Below are 13,692 nucleotides of genomic sequence, written 5' to 3'. Positions count from 1 at the left end.
GGGGGCCCGGGGCTGACCAGCCACCCTTCCCATGATACACCTGAGGAGCTGGGGAGCCTCACACACACAGGTCTGGCCCCAGAGCCGCATCAGCAAGTCTGCTTTTTAGGAGTGACCAGAGCCATCTCTGTTCCCCTGGCGGGCACCCCTGGTGCTATCTGAGGCCTGCCGAGGTGGTTGCCTGGTGGGAGGCGCTGTGGTCTCCTTGTGCTTTCTGGGGGCCCCTCAGAGCCCCACAGGCCACATGTATGTCGCTGGCTTCCTGCCTACCTCTCAGTTCCCTGTTTGTTTATCTAGAGACGCCTCCAGATGCCCTTATATTGGAATCTCCATTCACTAATATCCGCGAAGAAGCTAAGAGCCATCCATTTTCAGTGGCAAGTACAGATTTTATTAAAAATTAACTTTTCATTATTAAGATAAATTATAGAAATAACTAATTACAGGATACATTATAATAATTATTAAAAATTGTTATTTAAATATTCTAATGAATACAGATTTCATTAAAAATTAATACTAGTTTTGGCCACAGAGCTGCCCAAGAAGTATAACCTGCAGCCAGGTGAAATGACAGGTCATAATTGGGTCATTTGAGGGCAGCTGGACACAGTGGAGGCCGGGCTCACGTGGTGTCATCGACTGCATTGTATTGACAGCCCTGCCTTCCTGTTCAGGAGTGGAGCTGGGGGTGCCCCCCTCTCTGTGTATGAGACAGTGCTTGGGGGGCTGGACTGTGTGGACCAGGGAGTCTGGCCTTCCAGTTTTATCTTGGGGAAAGGCCCAGGTGAACCCCAGTGGGAATTCTGGGTAAGCCAGGCCCCACCCAACCTGTGCCCTCCCCAGCTGGGAATGGAACCTTGGACCTTCCCTTAAAACCTAGCCAGTTATTTTCCCCTCCTTCTCACTCTGGTTTGTGATCCCTGTGCTCCCCACTGGCCATGGATTCTCGGGCCTGTGTCAGCCCATGCTGGCCTCATGCTGTTCTGTTACCAACCAGAAGAGCCTTTTATCTTATCTTACTTTTTGGTGCTGCTTTTCTTAAATTGTGTGAGGAAACTGTCCATAGACCCCACTTTCTCAGGGGTGGCGGCCCTGGTGTCTGCGGGAAGACTGGTTTCTGGGGTGGATTCTGGCCTGGCTGGGAGGTGCGGGAGCCCCATTTGCAGGGCAGCCCCTGCCATGCCAGTCTGTGGGGCCTGGCGGGTGATTCTTCTGTTCCTAGCAGCAAAGCCAGGACACGGCCAGGGCAGAAGGTGCCAGGGCACAGCTCTGGTGGCCCCTTGGCAATGTCACCCCTGCTCCCTTAGGTAGGGTAGTTATGGGCAACGCCTTATAGATTTCTGAACTTAAACTGTCTGCACCCTTGACCTGTGCCTGGATATCTTAACCAACGCTTCTGAAAATGGTTTCCATCTTGTCTCCAGATATATCGATACTTCCCTGGGTTTGACTGGTTCTTCCTTGATCCTATTACAAGTAGTGGAATTAAATTTGCAAATGATGAAAAGTGAGTATTATGGGACAGGAACTAATTTTCCTATTTAGAAAAACTCTGAGAACCTCTGGATGAGCCTCTTTAGTCACAGTAATCAAATAGGATGGAATTCAGTGTATTTAGGGTCATTCTCTAGCAAACAGGTCTTTAAAAAGGGAAAGCCTGCTAGGGACCGTGGTTCACACCTGTAATCCCAGCACTTTGGGAAGCTGAGGAAGGCAGATCGCTTGATCCTAGGAGTTTGAGACCAGCCTGGGCAACATAGCAGGGCCCTGTCTCTACAAAAAATCCAAAAATTGACCAGGTATGGTGGCATCGTGTACCTGTGGTCCCAGCTACATGGGAGGCTGAGTTAGGAGGATCACCTGAGCCTGGGGAGGTCAAGACTGCAGTGAACCGTGATTGCACCACTGCACTCCAGCCTGGGTGACAGAGTGAGACCTTGTCTCAAAACAAAACAAAAAAAATTGTGGGCCAGGGGGCAAGTAAAGAACTGTAACAGAAAGAAATAAGAAATCTGAAAAGATTATAGAAGTAAAGCAATATTAAAATAACATAGTTTTTGTCCATAGAGTTGTTTTATTTCAAAATGGTTTGTGAAAACCAAAACACATATTAAAACAGTGATATTAACTGGTTGATTTTTCTTCTTTTTTTTTTTTTTGTTTTTGTTTTTTTGAGACGGAGTCTTGCTCTGTCACCCAGGTTGTAGTGCAGTGGCGTGATCTCAGCTCACTGCAACCTCTGCCTCCTGGATTCAAGTGATTATCCCACCTCAGCCTCCCGAGTACCTGGGATTACAGGTACCCGCCATCATGCCCCACTAATTTTTTTGTATTTTTGTAGAGACGGGGTTTCACCATGTTGGCCGGGCTGGTCTCGAACTCCTGATCTCGGGTGATCTGCTCGCCTTGGCCTCCCAAAGTGCTGGGATTACAGGCGTGAGCCACTGAGCCCTGCTGATACTGACTTAATCAGAAAATGACTTTGCCTCAGCCATTTGATTTGTGTTTGGTTATAGAAATATATTACAAAGTTTATTGTTAAAAATCTATTAGGTAAACCAAAAGTTAAGTATTCTAGTTAAGGGTTCTTTTTTTAAACCTTTTTCAGATTGTATTGATATTGTCTTTGTGACATTTTTATATCATGAATTTTGATTTCTTTAAAAAAAGAGGGAAGTAGGCTGGGCGTGGTGGCTCATGCCTGTAATCCCAGCACTTTGGGAAGTTGAGGTGGGCAGATCACATGGTCAGGAGATCGAGACCATCCTGGCTAACACAGTGAAACCCTGTCTCTACTAAAAATACAAAAATTAGCCGGGTGTGGTGGCTCGTGCCTGTAGTCCCAGCTAATCAGGAGGCTGAGGCAGGAGAATCGCTTGAACCCGGGAGGCAGAGGTTGTAGTGGGCCGAGATCGCGCCACTGCACTCCAGCCTGGGCGACAGAGCGAGACTCCGTCTCAAAAAAAAAAAAAGAGGGAAAGTAAAACACCCTATAAATATTTAATTTAATTTGAAACAGAATATGAAAAAAAATGGAGTATTTTTTCCCATCAAGTATGTTTTGGTTCTAAAAATAAAAATAGAACAAATTAAAAGTTGAACAAATATTTTAAGCAACAAACCCTGCTTGTTTGTAAATACTACTGTTTTGGAACTTGAAAAAGAATTATCTGGGCTGGGTGCAGTGGCTCACGCCTGTAATCCCAGCACTTTGAGAGGCTGAGGCAGGTGGATTACCTGAGGTCAGGAGTTCAAGATCACCCTAACATGGTGAACCCCGTCTCAACTGAAAATGCAAAATTAGCCAGGTGTGGTGGCACATGCCTGTAATCCCAGCTACTCGGGAGGCTGAGGCAGGAGGCGGAGGTTGCAGTGAGCCAAGATCATGCCATTGCACTCCAGCCTGGGCAACAAAGAAAAGAAAAAAAGAATTATCTGAATGAACTGGATTCCTTCTTAAAAAGCAAGGTTGTGACTGGGTGTGGTGGCTCACCACTGTAATCCCAACATTTTGGGAGGCTGAGGCAGGCAGATCACGAGGTCAGGAGTTTGAGACCATCCTGGCCAATATGGTGAAACCCTGTCTCTACTAAAATACAAAACAATTAGCCAGGCGTGGTGGTGCACGCCTGTAGTCCCAGCTACTCGGGAGGCTGAAGCAGGAGAATCACTTGAACCCAGGAGGCAGAGGTTGCAGTGAGCTGAGATCGCACCACTGCACTCCAGCCTGGTGAAAGAGCAAGACTCATCTCAAAATAAAAAATAAAAACAAACAAAAAAAGCAAGTTTGAGTACCGTGCCCCTGAAGCTGCCTTTGGCCTTGACCCTCCCAGCTGAGCCAGATGGAGTACAGGTGACCCTGGGTGAGACCCCCACCCTCAGCTCATTGGAAGTCAGGGGCACAGCTCTGAGGGCAGGAGGGGCTTTCCTGAGCTCAGGTGGGCCGTGGTCTGGGAAATCCCAAGTACTGCCGCTTCCTCCAGAGCCTCTGGTGAGAGGGACTCGCACATCAGACAAGCCTTACTGGGAAGCAAGAGTGTGTGCCTCCTGCCAGCAGCACAGACAGGGCGGGGGCTCCCCACCGGGTCCTGCTCCAGGTGCCAGGAGTGCACCAGCGCTGCCCTCACGGAGCACACAGCCCTGTTGGGGATAAAGGAGACTTGGGTCAGGCACCACCTCAGTGAGGGCCGCACAGGAGAGCCCAGGCTCCGCCGGTCCTGGCAGCCCATGCTTCTGTTATGTGGTTTGCTGAAGGATTTGGATCTATCAAACCTACTGAAAATCCTAAATCACTTCTAAGTGTTTAGAGTTGGAGTGACCATAAATGTCACTTACACAGATAAATTAGAGAACATTGACTTTTTTTACCAACAGATTCCTAGTAACATTCATTTACACTAAGTTTCTTGGCCCACCTGAATTATTCCGCTTAAAAATATATATATCTGGTGGAAAAATAATCATTTTCAATTTTCAGAAGACATTCCGAGGGCCAGTTATATAGCTGTGATTGACACCTGTCATCTAGCTGTAATAGATGTTCATAGAGATAATGAAGAGTTAACTTTCAGTTGTCTAGTAAAAAGAAATCCAGCAGAAATCAGGCTGTTTCCCAAAACACACCCTGAACCCAGATCCCTGCCATGGACAGAGGGTCTGGGCAACTCTGCCCTTTCCCTGGTCTTGGTCTAGCCCCTTCTCCCTCCTACAGCGTGAAGCACATCTCCTGTCCCCTGCTCATCCTGCACGCTGAGGACGACCCGGTGGTGCCCTTCCAGCTTGGCAGAAAGGTGGGTCCTGGCCTCTGCCTCTGGTGTAGCTGGCATCTTGCACACTCAGCCAGTGTGGGTGGACCAGGCTGGGAGTGGGCAGGCGGGAAGGCAGCCCCTGCATGCTGCATCACGGGCTGCGCACCAGCCACGTCAGGCTCAGGAGGCCACCTCATCCTCCCTGCGTCACCTCCAGGCTGCTTCGGAAGGACATGGGAGGTCTGGTGTAAAGGTTGGGGCAGGGGCCCACTGATGCTGTCTCCAAGAATATGAAAAATAAGCAGATAGTTCCCAGTCCTCACACAGGGGTTATCAGAGTGGGCTGCCTATGTTATCAGAGCCCAGGCCAACCTGGGAACTCAGCTGGAAGGGCTCATCAGTTATGGGCTGAAGGCAAAGAACCCCTTGATGAGGATCTCCCAAGCCCATTGCAGGGGTCACAGTCAAAATTGATAGAGAAACTTCTAGCCTGTTTCCTTGCCTTTGGAATTGCGCTGATACCAGAACCAGACCATGCTGTCTGTGGGGCCTCAGTGTTTGCTTTTGCTGAATTTGCTTTGACTGTCAGCAAGTTGGATTGGATTTGTGGCTCAGAGTAGGGTAAGAGAAGGCAGCCTGGGTCTTGGTAATGGCAGGGCAAACTAGTTGGGTGTGTGCAGGCCTCGTCCACGGATTCAGCCCAGGGCTGGGAGCACTTCCTGCTCTGACAGCCCCCATGCAGTCAGGCTCCATAAGGCACACAGATGACGGAGCCACACAGGGCAGGGGCAGAATGCAGAGCCGCCCAGCAGCGCACAGCTCAGGCCCACCTACCCTTGCCGAAATGAGAGGGGGAGGGGGCTGAGATGGGTACATCAAGCCCATCTTAGCTAAGCCTGAGGCACATACCTTTTGTCCCAGCTCCCCAAGACTGTGCCATCCCTGCCATCAGAGCCTCCCAGGCACCTGGTCTGGCTCATCCACCTAGCCACTCCCCAGAGGAAGGGTAGTCTATAAGGTGTGAGGACAGTATCTTGAGTGGTGTGTGCCCAGGAGCCAAGCCTGGGGCCTGGCTCCTCCCAGCCCACCCCCGGGCCTCCTGGTCGTGACCGGCTGTGGCAACAAGCAGTGTATGTGGGACTCTGGACTGGTTTCTATTGAAGGGGAGGCTGCCAAGCTGGTGTTCCTCAGGCTGGGACCCCCATGCCAGGCCACTGCCTCAGGCTCTGACCCCTCTCTCCCCAGCTCTATAGCATCGCCGCACCAGCTCGAAGCTTCCGAGATTTCAAAGTTCAGTTTGTGCCCTTTCATTCAGACCTTGGCTACAGGCACAAATACATTTACAAGAGCCCTGAGCTGCCACGGATACTGAGGTGAGACATTCTCTTCCCACCCAGGGGCTTCGTCTGGGCAGCACTGGCTCACACCTAACGTGCAGCAGGTGGCAGCTGCTGAAGCTGCTCAGGGGGCCTCAGTGGGGCCAAGAGTCACAGTGATTTGGGAGCCTTCCATTTCCTTGGCAGAGGGGTTTGAGGGAGTGCCTCTCTCCTGCTCCAGGACTGTTCACATGATCATGCAGGGTGAGCCGCCTCCATGTTGTAAAGGATGTACAGACCCACACGGGGGGGCACACACGCTCACAGGTGGCCATGTTTGGGAACACTCAGACACAGACACCCCAGCCACTTGCAGGCCTCGGATCTCTTCCACACACCTCTCAAGACGTACACAGCTCCTCAAAAGCCTCTTTGTCCCCAGCTGCTTCTTGAAGGGACGTGGTGCTCCTGACTGCCCTGCACTGGCAGGACATGGGCGCCAGCCCAGAGAGCCATGAGTACCCACCTGGGCCTGAGTGCAGAGCCCAAGCCTGAGGGTGAGGCCTTGGCAGTAGTGACAAGGGCAGTGTGTGGAATGGACCAACCCCCGGCCTCCTCTGTACTGCCCTGGGCCCTATGCAGGTTGCTGCCCAGACTCGCCTACCTGCCTGTCAGAGGACACAGGCCCCCACCCCACTGCCTGGCTGTGTGGCCTTGGGCAAGATGCTAACCCTCCCTGTGCATGGGACAAGGCTTCTGAGCCGAGGAGGGCATGTGGTACTTCGACCCTAAGCACTGGACCCACGGAGGGGCTGCTGCTAATGGTGATAGAGTTTTTTGTTGTGTTGTGCCAGTCAGCTCCAAAAAGTAGGTCAAGGTGCCAGTTTCTCCCTGCAGGGGACTGAAATTGGTGGCCTGAATTGCCTCCCAGTGCTGTATATCCCGTGAGTAATTCTACTGCAAACTTCTGCTTTTCTCCAGTTGCCTTTGGAAGTTCCAGAGGCAAAACTGTGTCCCTTTAGCACAGGTACCTGGGTTGCTAAGGGGGCAGTGGGCTCAGAGTATGGGTTTGCTTTGCGGTTATAATTTTCCCCATTATAAAAGGAAGATATGTGTAGAAAATTTAGACCAGAGAATAGCTCTGAAGTTGAGGGTCAAGAATCAGAGACCTTGTCTCCATGCCTGTGTGTTGGGCTTTGACTTGGCACCACACTGCTTGTTCCCTGCCTAACTCACTGAGTGCTGCTCTGGGCTACAGCGCATCCTCATGGGGCTCTTGGCTGCCTCCTCTCTGCACAGCCTCTGCTTCCTTAGATAGCAGTGTGAGGACTGTGGAGAAGGATCTTTGGTCTGAGCTCAAATGATTGGCTCCTGATTGTCCTGTGGTCTAGGGAATTCCTGGGGAAGTCGGAGCCTGAGCACCAGCACTGAGCCTGGCCGTGGGAAGGAAGCATGAAGACCTCTGCCCTCCTCCCGTTTTCCTCCAGTCAGCAGCCCGGTATCCTGAAGCCCCGGGGGGCCGGCACCTGCAATGCTCAGGAGCCCAGCTCGCACCTGGAGAGCACCTCAGATCCCAGGCGGGGAGGCCCCTGCAGGCCTGCAGTGCCCGGAGGCCTGAGCATGGCTGTGTGGAAAGCGTGGGTGGCAGGCATGTGGCTCTCCTTGCCGCCCCTCAACCTGAGATCTTGTTGGGAGACTTAATGGCAGCAGGCAGCCATCACTGCCTGCTTGATGCTGCACTGAGCTGGACAGGGGGAGTCCGGGCAGGGGACTCTTGGGGCTCGGGACCATGCTGAGCTTTTTGGCACCACCCACAGAGAACGTGGGGTCCAGGTTCTTTCTGCACCTTCCCAGCACATGCAGAATGACTCCAGTGGTTCCATCGTCCCCTCCTGCCCTGTGTACCTGCTTGCCTTTCTCAGCTGCCCCACCTCCCCTGGGCTGGCCCACTCACCCACAGTGGAAGTGCCCGGGATCTGCACTTCCTCCCCTTTCACCTACCTGTACACCTAACCTGGCCTTAGACTGAGCTTTATTTAAGAATAAAATCGTGGTGGTGGTCCTTTTGTCTCTCTGCAGCGCGAGAAGGGTCAATGTTGCCTCCTCCATGCCCCAGAGCCGCCCACAGCCTAGCCTCTAGCCGCTTTGGAGCCACTCCATGACTCAGCCTCAGACTATGAAATTTTCTAGTCCCAGCAGCTCAGAAATTTGCCAGGAGTAGGAAGTTTTGTTCACCTGCTCGCCCCTTTCTCCAAGTTGCAGTCCCAGCATCAGCAGCTGTGGGCTGGCAGGGAGCCCAGAGGTCCTCGCGGTTACACTCCTTCACTGGGGTACCCTGAGCTACCTATAGCGGTTCTCAGATCTACAAAACACTTTTCCTACGCAGGGGAGCAGCTGAGTAGACATTACTTCTGAGGTCAGTTCATGAGAACACTGGTCCCCCTCCTGGCCAGGGTGTGCCCCAGCTCCTGGTCCCTAATTAGGGTGTCATTTCTGTTCCACCCACCCACGGCCCCAGAGACACCACCTGCCCCAGGGTTGGGATCTCCTTGCATGGCCATCTGAGCCGGGGACCCACGTGGCATCCTAGAATGTCTTTGTGAGGCTATAGGAACCCCTAGGGGAGCCAGGCAGCCCCTTCTTTAGGACATAGGTTTACTCCAGCACAGAGCCCAAGGCTGGTCTCCTGGCCTCGTCGCACACTTCAGCTCCTGACCACGAAGCAGAGGTGACCCACTCTACCTGGGCTGGCCTTCATCTTTTCCTCATTTTTTTTTTTTTTGGTCTATGTAAGCTACTTGGGATACTTGGCTGGGGGACTGAGGCAAGATAGATACAAACTAAAAATACAAGCTCCTGGTGGGTTTTTTGTTTTTTTGAGACAGTCTCACTCTGTTGCCCAGGCTGGAGTGCAGTGGCACAATCATAGCTCACAGCAACTTCACCTCCTGGGCTCAAGCAGTTCTCCCACCTCAGCCTGCCTCCCAAGTAGGTGGGACTACAGGCACGTGCCACCACGCCCAGCTAATTCTTGTATGTTTTGTAAAGATGGGGTTTTGCCATGTTGCCCAGGCTGGTCTCGAACTCCTGAGCAATCCTCCTGCCTTGGCCTCTCAAAGTGCTGGGATTATAGGCATGAGCCATTGCACTCAGCCAAGCTACTAGTGTCTTTTTTACAAAACTGAGATGATGCAGATAAGAGCGAGAAGGGTGCACTGTGTGGCAGCTGCTCCACCATCACCTGTCAGCTCATTACATCCAAGTGCCCTACCCAGGGTGCTGAGCTCAGTTGTCCAAGCAACTAATCCCTGGGAGGGCACCCCACAGACCTGGGGAGGCAGAGACTCCCAGGGCACCACCTTGGTGCCGCCCGCCCAGATGCATGGTGGGTGTGGGGATGAGGACAACCTGGCAGCACCAACCCCTGCACGACCAGGTCTGAGGCCAAGGAGGCCCATGGCACTCCAGCATCCCAGTTCTTGGGTCTTCAGGGTAGCACAGAGCCCTAGGCTCATTTCTCCTGATTTCTTAATCTGCAACTGTACAATTGATGGGCGATGCTTTGGTCCCCAGGGCCAGGAGTGGGAGACAAAAGTTGCAGGTGCAAAGGGACCAGCACAAGTCACACCAGAAAGGTGTGTGTGTTTCTTATCCCCAGATAGCATGTTTAGTAATGGCTGGATTTGATTGATTGATAGAATTTTTAGAAAATAGCTAGCTTGGCCAGGAACAGTGGTTCACAACTGTAATCTCAGCACTTTCGGAGGCTGAGGCGGGCGGATCACCTGAGGTCAGGAGTTTGAGACCAGCCTGGCCAACATGGCAAAACTAAAAATACACAAATTAGCCGGGTGTGGTGGTGGGCGCCTGTAATGCCAGCTACTCGGGAGGCTGAGGCAGGAGAATTGCTTGAACCCAGGAGGCGGAGGTTGCAGCGAGCCAAGACCGTGCCACTGCACTCCAGCCTGGGCAACAAAAGCAAAACTCCATCTCAAAAACAAAAAAACAAAACTAGCCGTTCAGGCACACATGACCCCGGGTTCCACACCTAGTGGAGATGCAAACTTTTCTGCCCTCAATCCCAGAATGATGGGGTGTAATTCAGCCCCGGCTCTAGTTTCAGACGGGGGACCTGTGGCCCACTTGCAGGTCTCATCCCTGCACTGGCACCACCCTGGGCCTCAGGCCTGTGTTCTCTGCTTCCCACAGTCTCATACCACCACCTGCAGTTAGTTAGTTAGTTAGTGAAACACAGACCCCATGTCAGCCAACCACAGCCACAAAGGTTTAATCAGTTTTTATCTCACAAGGCAGTAACAATGAGGGGCACAGTGGTGGTCAGGGTGGTGGCCCCAGTGGCCAACTAGGGGAGTATGGCCTCCTCCACAGAGCCGCTGCCTGGGGAAGATGCTGTCAGGGCACGACCACAGCCCAGCACTTGCCCCACTCAATAAAAGGCTGTAGTGCTCTGGTGGGCTGTGCACCGTGCGCAGATCCTCCTGGTGGGCACTGGAGGCCAGGGAGAAAAAGAGCCTCCCCGCAGCCCAGATCCAGCATGCAAGGTGCTAGATTTCTCGGCAATTCCACAGGGAAGGACAGTAGCCTGTTCCCTGCCCTCTCTCTTGGGCAATGGGAGGCAGGTTGCCAGCCTTGGGGAGGGGCAAGGCTGTGAGGGGCTCACCCCCACCTCCCAGTGCCAGGCCTGCTGTCCAAGCAGAGCACAAATGGGTTCCTCCGGGACCCCTGGTCCTTTTTCCAGACGAGGCTGTGGCACTGGTGGAAAGGGAGGGAGAATGGAGCCTGGCCCTTGTGTGTACAACAGGAAATGCACCTCAGGACACAGCAGGAGTCAGCGGGAGGGCACAGACCTGCCCCCTGCCAGGCAGAAAATGGGCCTCCTCAAGCACAAAAGTGACCAAGTACAATTTTCAGTTGCTAAAACAAGAAAAGGCTTCAGCTAGTTTCATTTCCATGTGTAGTTATTTTCTCTTTTGAATAAGCAAAACCAAGCTAAGCTGTGTCAGCCAACTTCATCCTGACCAAGGCCTCTGAGACAGCAGACACAAGCACCCACTCCAGTGTCCCCCTCAGTCATCCCGGGTTCCAAGCACCCACACAATGCCCATTGGATGGCTACAAAGGGAAAGCCCCATCTGGGTCCATGACCCATATACCAGGTGCAGAGCCAGGACAGAGGGCAGGGGGCAGGGGGCTGTGAAGGCGATGCCTAGAGGATCCGACCCCTCCCGGCATGGCCAGGAGGCAGGGCTGGGCAGGATGACTGGGGCTACATGGGGCTTGGCCCTTCCCTGTGGCTGGCAGCCCAGATGCTGCAGTAACACTCATTCCCAGGCTTCACTATGGCCACTGGCCCAGACCCCAGAATCCAGAGGCTCAACACTAAAGACATCGGCTAATACATAGCAAGATGTGTGCAAAGTTCTGGGGGAGCCCAGCAGGTGGCTCCACCTGACTCCCACTCTGGGTGGGGCAGGTGCTGAAGCTGCAGGGCTGGCCACGACCCTTTGTACTGTCAACTCTGGCTTCCTTTACAAGAAACTAGGAGCACTTCTAGCACATTCCTTCCTTACCCTGCTCTCTCAAAACCACCCTGACCCCCATGGCCCCTCCTGGAAACATGGTACTCAGAAAAGCAGGGACCACCAGTGGCTGGCAAAGTGTTTGGGGAAAAAAGGAGGTGCAAAGTCAGCAAGAAAACAAATGCCCGCTGGTCCCGCCAAGGCAGGGTGTGCCTAGTCCCGGGGGATGTTGGGGGGCGGGATCTGCAGGTCGGAGGGCTCCACACCCCAGATCTCCCGTGCATACTCCGTGATGGTCCGGTCACTGGAGAACTTGCCCGAGCAGGCGATGTTCCTGATGACCTTCTTGGTCCACTCCTTGGGGTTCTGCAGGGAAGGAGATGAAATTAGTCTCTGGCGTCACAGGGCTTGGGGCTGCTAAAAACATGGGATTCCAGAACTTTAGGACTGTTTCCAAATGAGCTCCGAGCCTTGGGGCCATCCGCTGGAAGAGGAGGACATTACAATCACTTGTTCGTTGAAAAGGGGACCCCACGGACCAGGAAAGCTACCGCATTCTAGATCTAGGGAGCAAGGAGCTGGAGAGAAGGTCCCAGCCTCGAAAATTCCTGCTAGGGCATGGCCCCCAGGACGACGATAGGGATAGCACCAGGTAAGAACTGCCCAGGCAGATCCAGTGCCAGGGGACATGCCCAGGCAGTCTCCTTCCACCAGGGAGCCTCACAGCTGCCACAAGCTGCAGGTCACACCAGGCCAGCCTTTCCTCGAGGCCAGCCCTGACTGAGGGAAGAGAAGGTCCCTCCCAGGGCCCTGCCCGTCACTCAGTTTCCAGGCCGCACATTCCTTTCTTGGCCATTAGGAGCTGTTTTTTTCAACGGAGGGAGTGACATTGACAGTGACAGCTTCCCTAAAGGCAGGCACAGCCGACTGATGACAGATCAGAATCACAAACCCCTCTGGCCCAGGCCAAGAATCTACTCAGCTTGGGAAATAAACAATCTGACCCAACACGTCTACATGGACCCACCCAGCTGCTCCCCTAGCCTCTGGACCCAGGAGCCTCACCCGGTACAGCTGGTCCACCTGTGCCTGGCACTGCATGTAGGCTTCATAGTCTGCAAACACCTTGAACCTGGAATGGGAGAAAGGAGGCTGGGCCAGGGCAGCAGGGAGCCCTGCCCACACTGTCCCGAGGGGAGAGTCCCAGGGCAGGAGGCCAGGCACCATCCACCTGGTCCTGTCTGGAGCGAAGGGGCCCACCCACGCAGCTGGTCAGAGCCAGGCTGCACCAGGCCCATTTGGCCACAGGGCTTCTCTGTGAGCAACACTTATGTCCTGGGACAATATTTTAGAAAAACCTTATTTCAACCCAACACTCCTTTAAATAAACTGGCATTTAAAACGTGTCTTCCACACGCAGGGCAGTTAGAGCTGCACATGGGAGAGGCCTCCTGGGCAGACAGTGGAGAGCCCATGGCGCCGCCTCAGGGCAGGGGGCACTTGCTGGGGAACGGCATCTCCATTTGCCGTCTTAAGTCTAACTGGGATTTGCCTACACAGGAAATACTGACTTGCAGTTCCTGATGTGCTGAACAAAAATGCCAGATTTATGAATCTACAAATGCATTTCTGTTCACTATCGAGTCAGAAGCACACTTCACGAAATGCAGAGTTCACAATTTTAAAAGCACTTCCTTTATCACAGACCTCAGCAGGGCCCAGGTTCCAGCCCAGATCCCAGCATGTGGTCAGAGCTGGTGTGACTGAAGCCAACAGGTGACACGGTCATCGAAGAGCAGCAGACAAAACTAAAACTAACCCAAAGGCAGCTGAAAGTGGAGGGCAGGTGAATTCCCAGCCCTCGCCGGATTCAACTTTTGCCAACGGTGAAGAACTGCCCTGAGCTGCAAACCTTACAAAGTCTGTAACTCTAGATAAACCATACCATGTGCTAACTGCACTGAAATAAAACACTAACTACATTATAATGTCACATCGTTGCAAGTGAAATCCATTTTCACCACTGCCTGTCACTGGCACTGACGCCTGCCGCGGTTCCGCAGCCCTTGTGCGCCCCCTACCCCA

General features: G+C 53.1%; 2 protein-coding genes across 12 annotated transcripts in view, besides 3 other annotated features; one reads left to right on the top strand and one right to left on the bottom strand.

Moving 5' to 3' along the window:
- Nucleotides 1-13,600, top strand: part of ABHD12 (abhydrolase domain containing 12, lysophospholipase) — a 96,093-nt gene extending 82,493 nt beyond the window's left edge. For 5 of the 11 annotated variants that reach the window (XM_047440087.1, XM_047440092.1, XM_047440094.1 and 2 more), the window contains 3 exons: nucleotides 298-377; nucleotides 1,428-1,510; nucleotides 4,715-6,086. In XM_047440087.1, the coding sequence (XP_047296043.1) occupies nucleotides 298-377; nucleotides 1,428-1,510; nucleotides 4,715-5,045 (494 nt within the window). In that variant the 3' untranslated portion in view covers nucleotides 5,046-6,086. Of the gene's footprint in view, nucleotides 1-297; nucleotides 378-1,427; nucleotides 1,511-4,714; nucleotides 6,125-6,964; nucleotides 7,012-7,458; nucleotides 8,130-13,312 lie in introns of those variants that run through there. The other 6 variants (NM_001042472.3, XM_047440093.1, XM_047440089.1 and 3 more) reach the window with 4 other exon arrangements.
- Nucleotides 7,174-7,724: an enhancer, noted in NCBI's record as "H3K4me1 hESC enhancer chr20:25281255-25281805 (GRCh37/hg19 assembly coordinates)". NCBI's record gives its function as "activates a minimal SCP1, AML or CMV promoter by ChIP-STARR-seq in naive H9 embryonic stem cells {active_cell/tissue: H9 hESC(naive)}" and the evidence as "EXISTENCE:reporter gene assay evidence [ECO:0000049][PMID:30033119]".
- Nucleotides 7,725-8,276: an enhancer, noted in NCBI's record as "H3K4me1 hESC enhancer chr20:25280703-25281254 (GRCh37/hg19 assembly coordinates)". NCBI's record gives its function as "activates a minimal SCP1, AML or CMV promoter by ChIP-STARR-seq in naive H9 embryonic stem cells {active_cell/tissue: H9 hESC(naive)}" and the evidence as "EXISTENCE:reporter gene assay evidence [ECO:0000049][PMID:30033119]".
- PYGB (glycogen phosphorylase B) overlaps nucleotides 10,331-13,692 on the bottom strand; it is a 49,928-nt gene continuing 46,566 nt past the window's right edge. Inside the window, exons 19-20 of the mRNA NM_002862.4 lie at nucleotides 12,673-12,739; nucleotides 10,331-11,973 (exon numbers count right to left, since the gene is read on the bottom strand). Of these exons, the coding sequence (NP_002853.2) occupies nucleotides 11,821-11,973; nucleotides 12,673-12,739 (220 nt within the window). The 3' untranslated portion in view covers nucleotides 10,331-11,820. The remainder of the gene's footprint in view (nucleotides 11,974-12,672; nucleotides 12,740-13,692) is intronic.
- Nucleotides 12,174-12,695: an enhancer, noted in NCBI's record as "H3K4me1 hESC enhancer chr20:25276284-25276805 (GRCh37/hg19 assembly coordinates)". NCBI's record gives its function as "activates a minimal SCP1, AML or CMV promoter by ChIP-STARR-seq in primed H9 embryonic stem cells {active_cell/tissue: H9 hESC(primed)}" and the evidence as "EXISTENCE:reporter gene assay evidence [ECO:0000049][PMID:30033119]".

Source organism: Homo sapiens, chromosome 20 (genome assembly GCF_000001405.40).
Source record: "Homo sapiens chromosome 20, GRCh38.p14 Primary Assembly".
NCBI classification, from domain to species: Eukaryota; Metazoa; Chordata; class Mammalia; order Primates; family Hominidae; genus Homo; species Homo sapiens.
The sequence above is the reverse complement of the archived record's forward strand: the minus strand, read 5'-3'. Positions and strand labels throughout refer to the sequence as shown.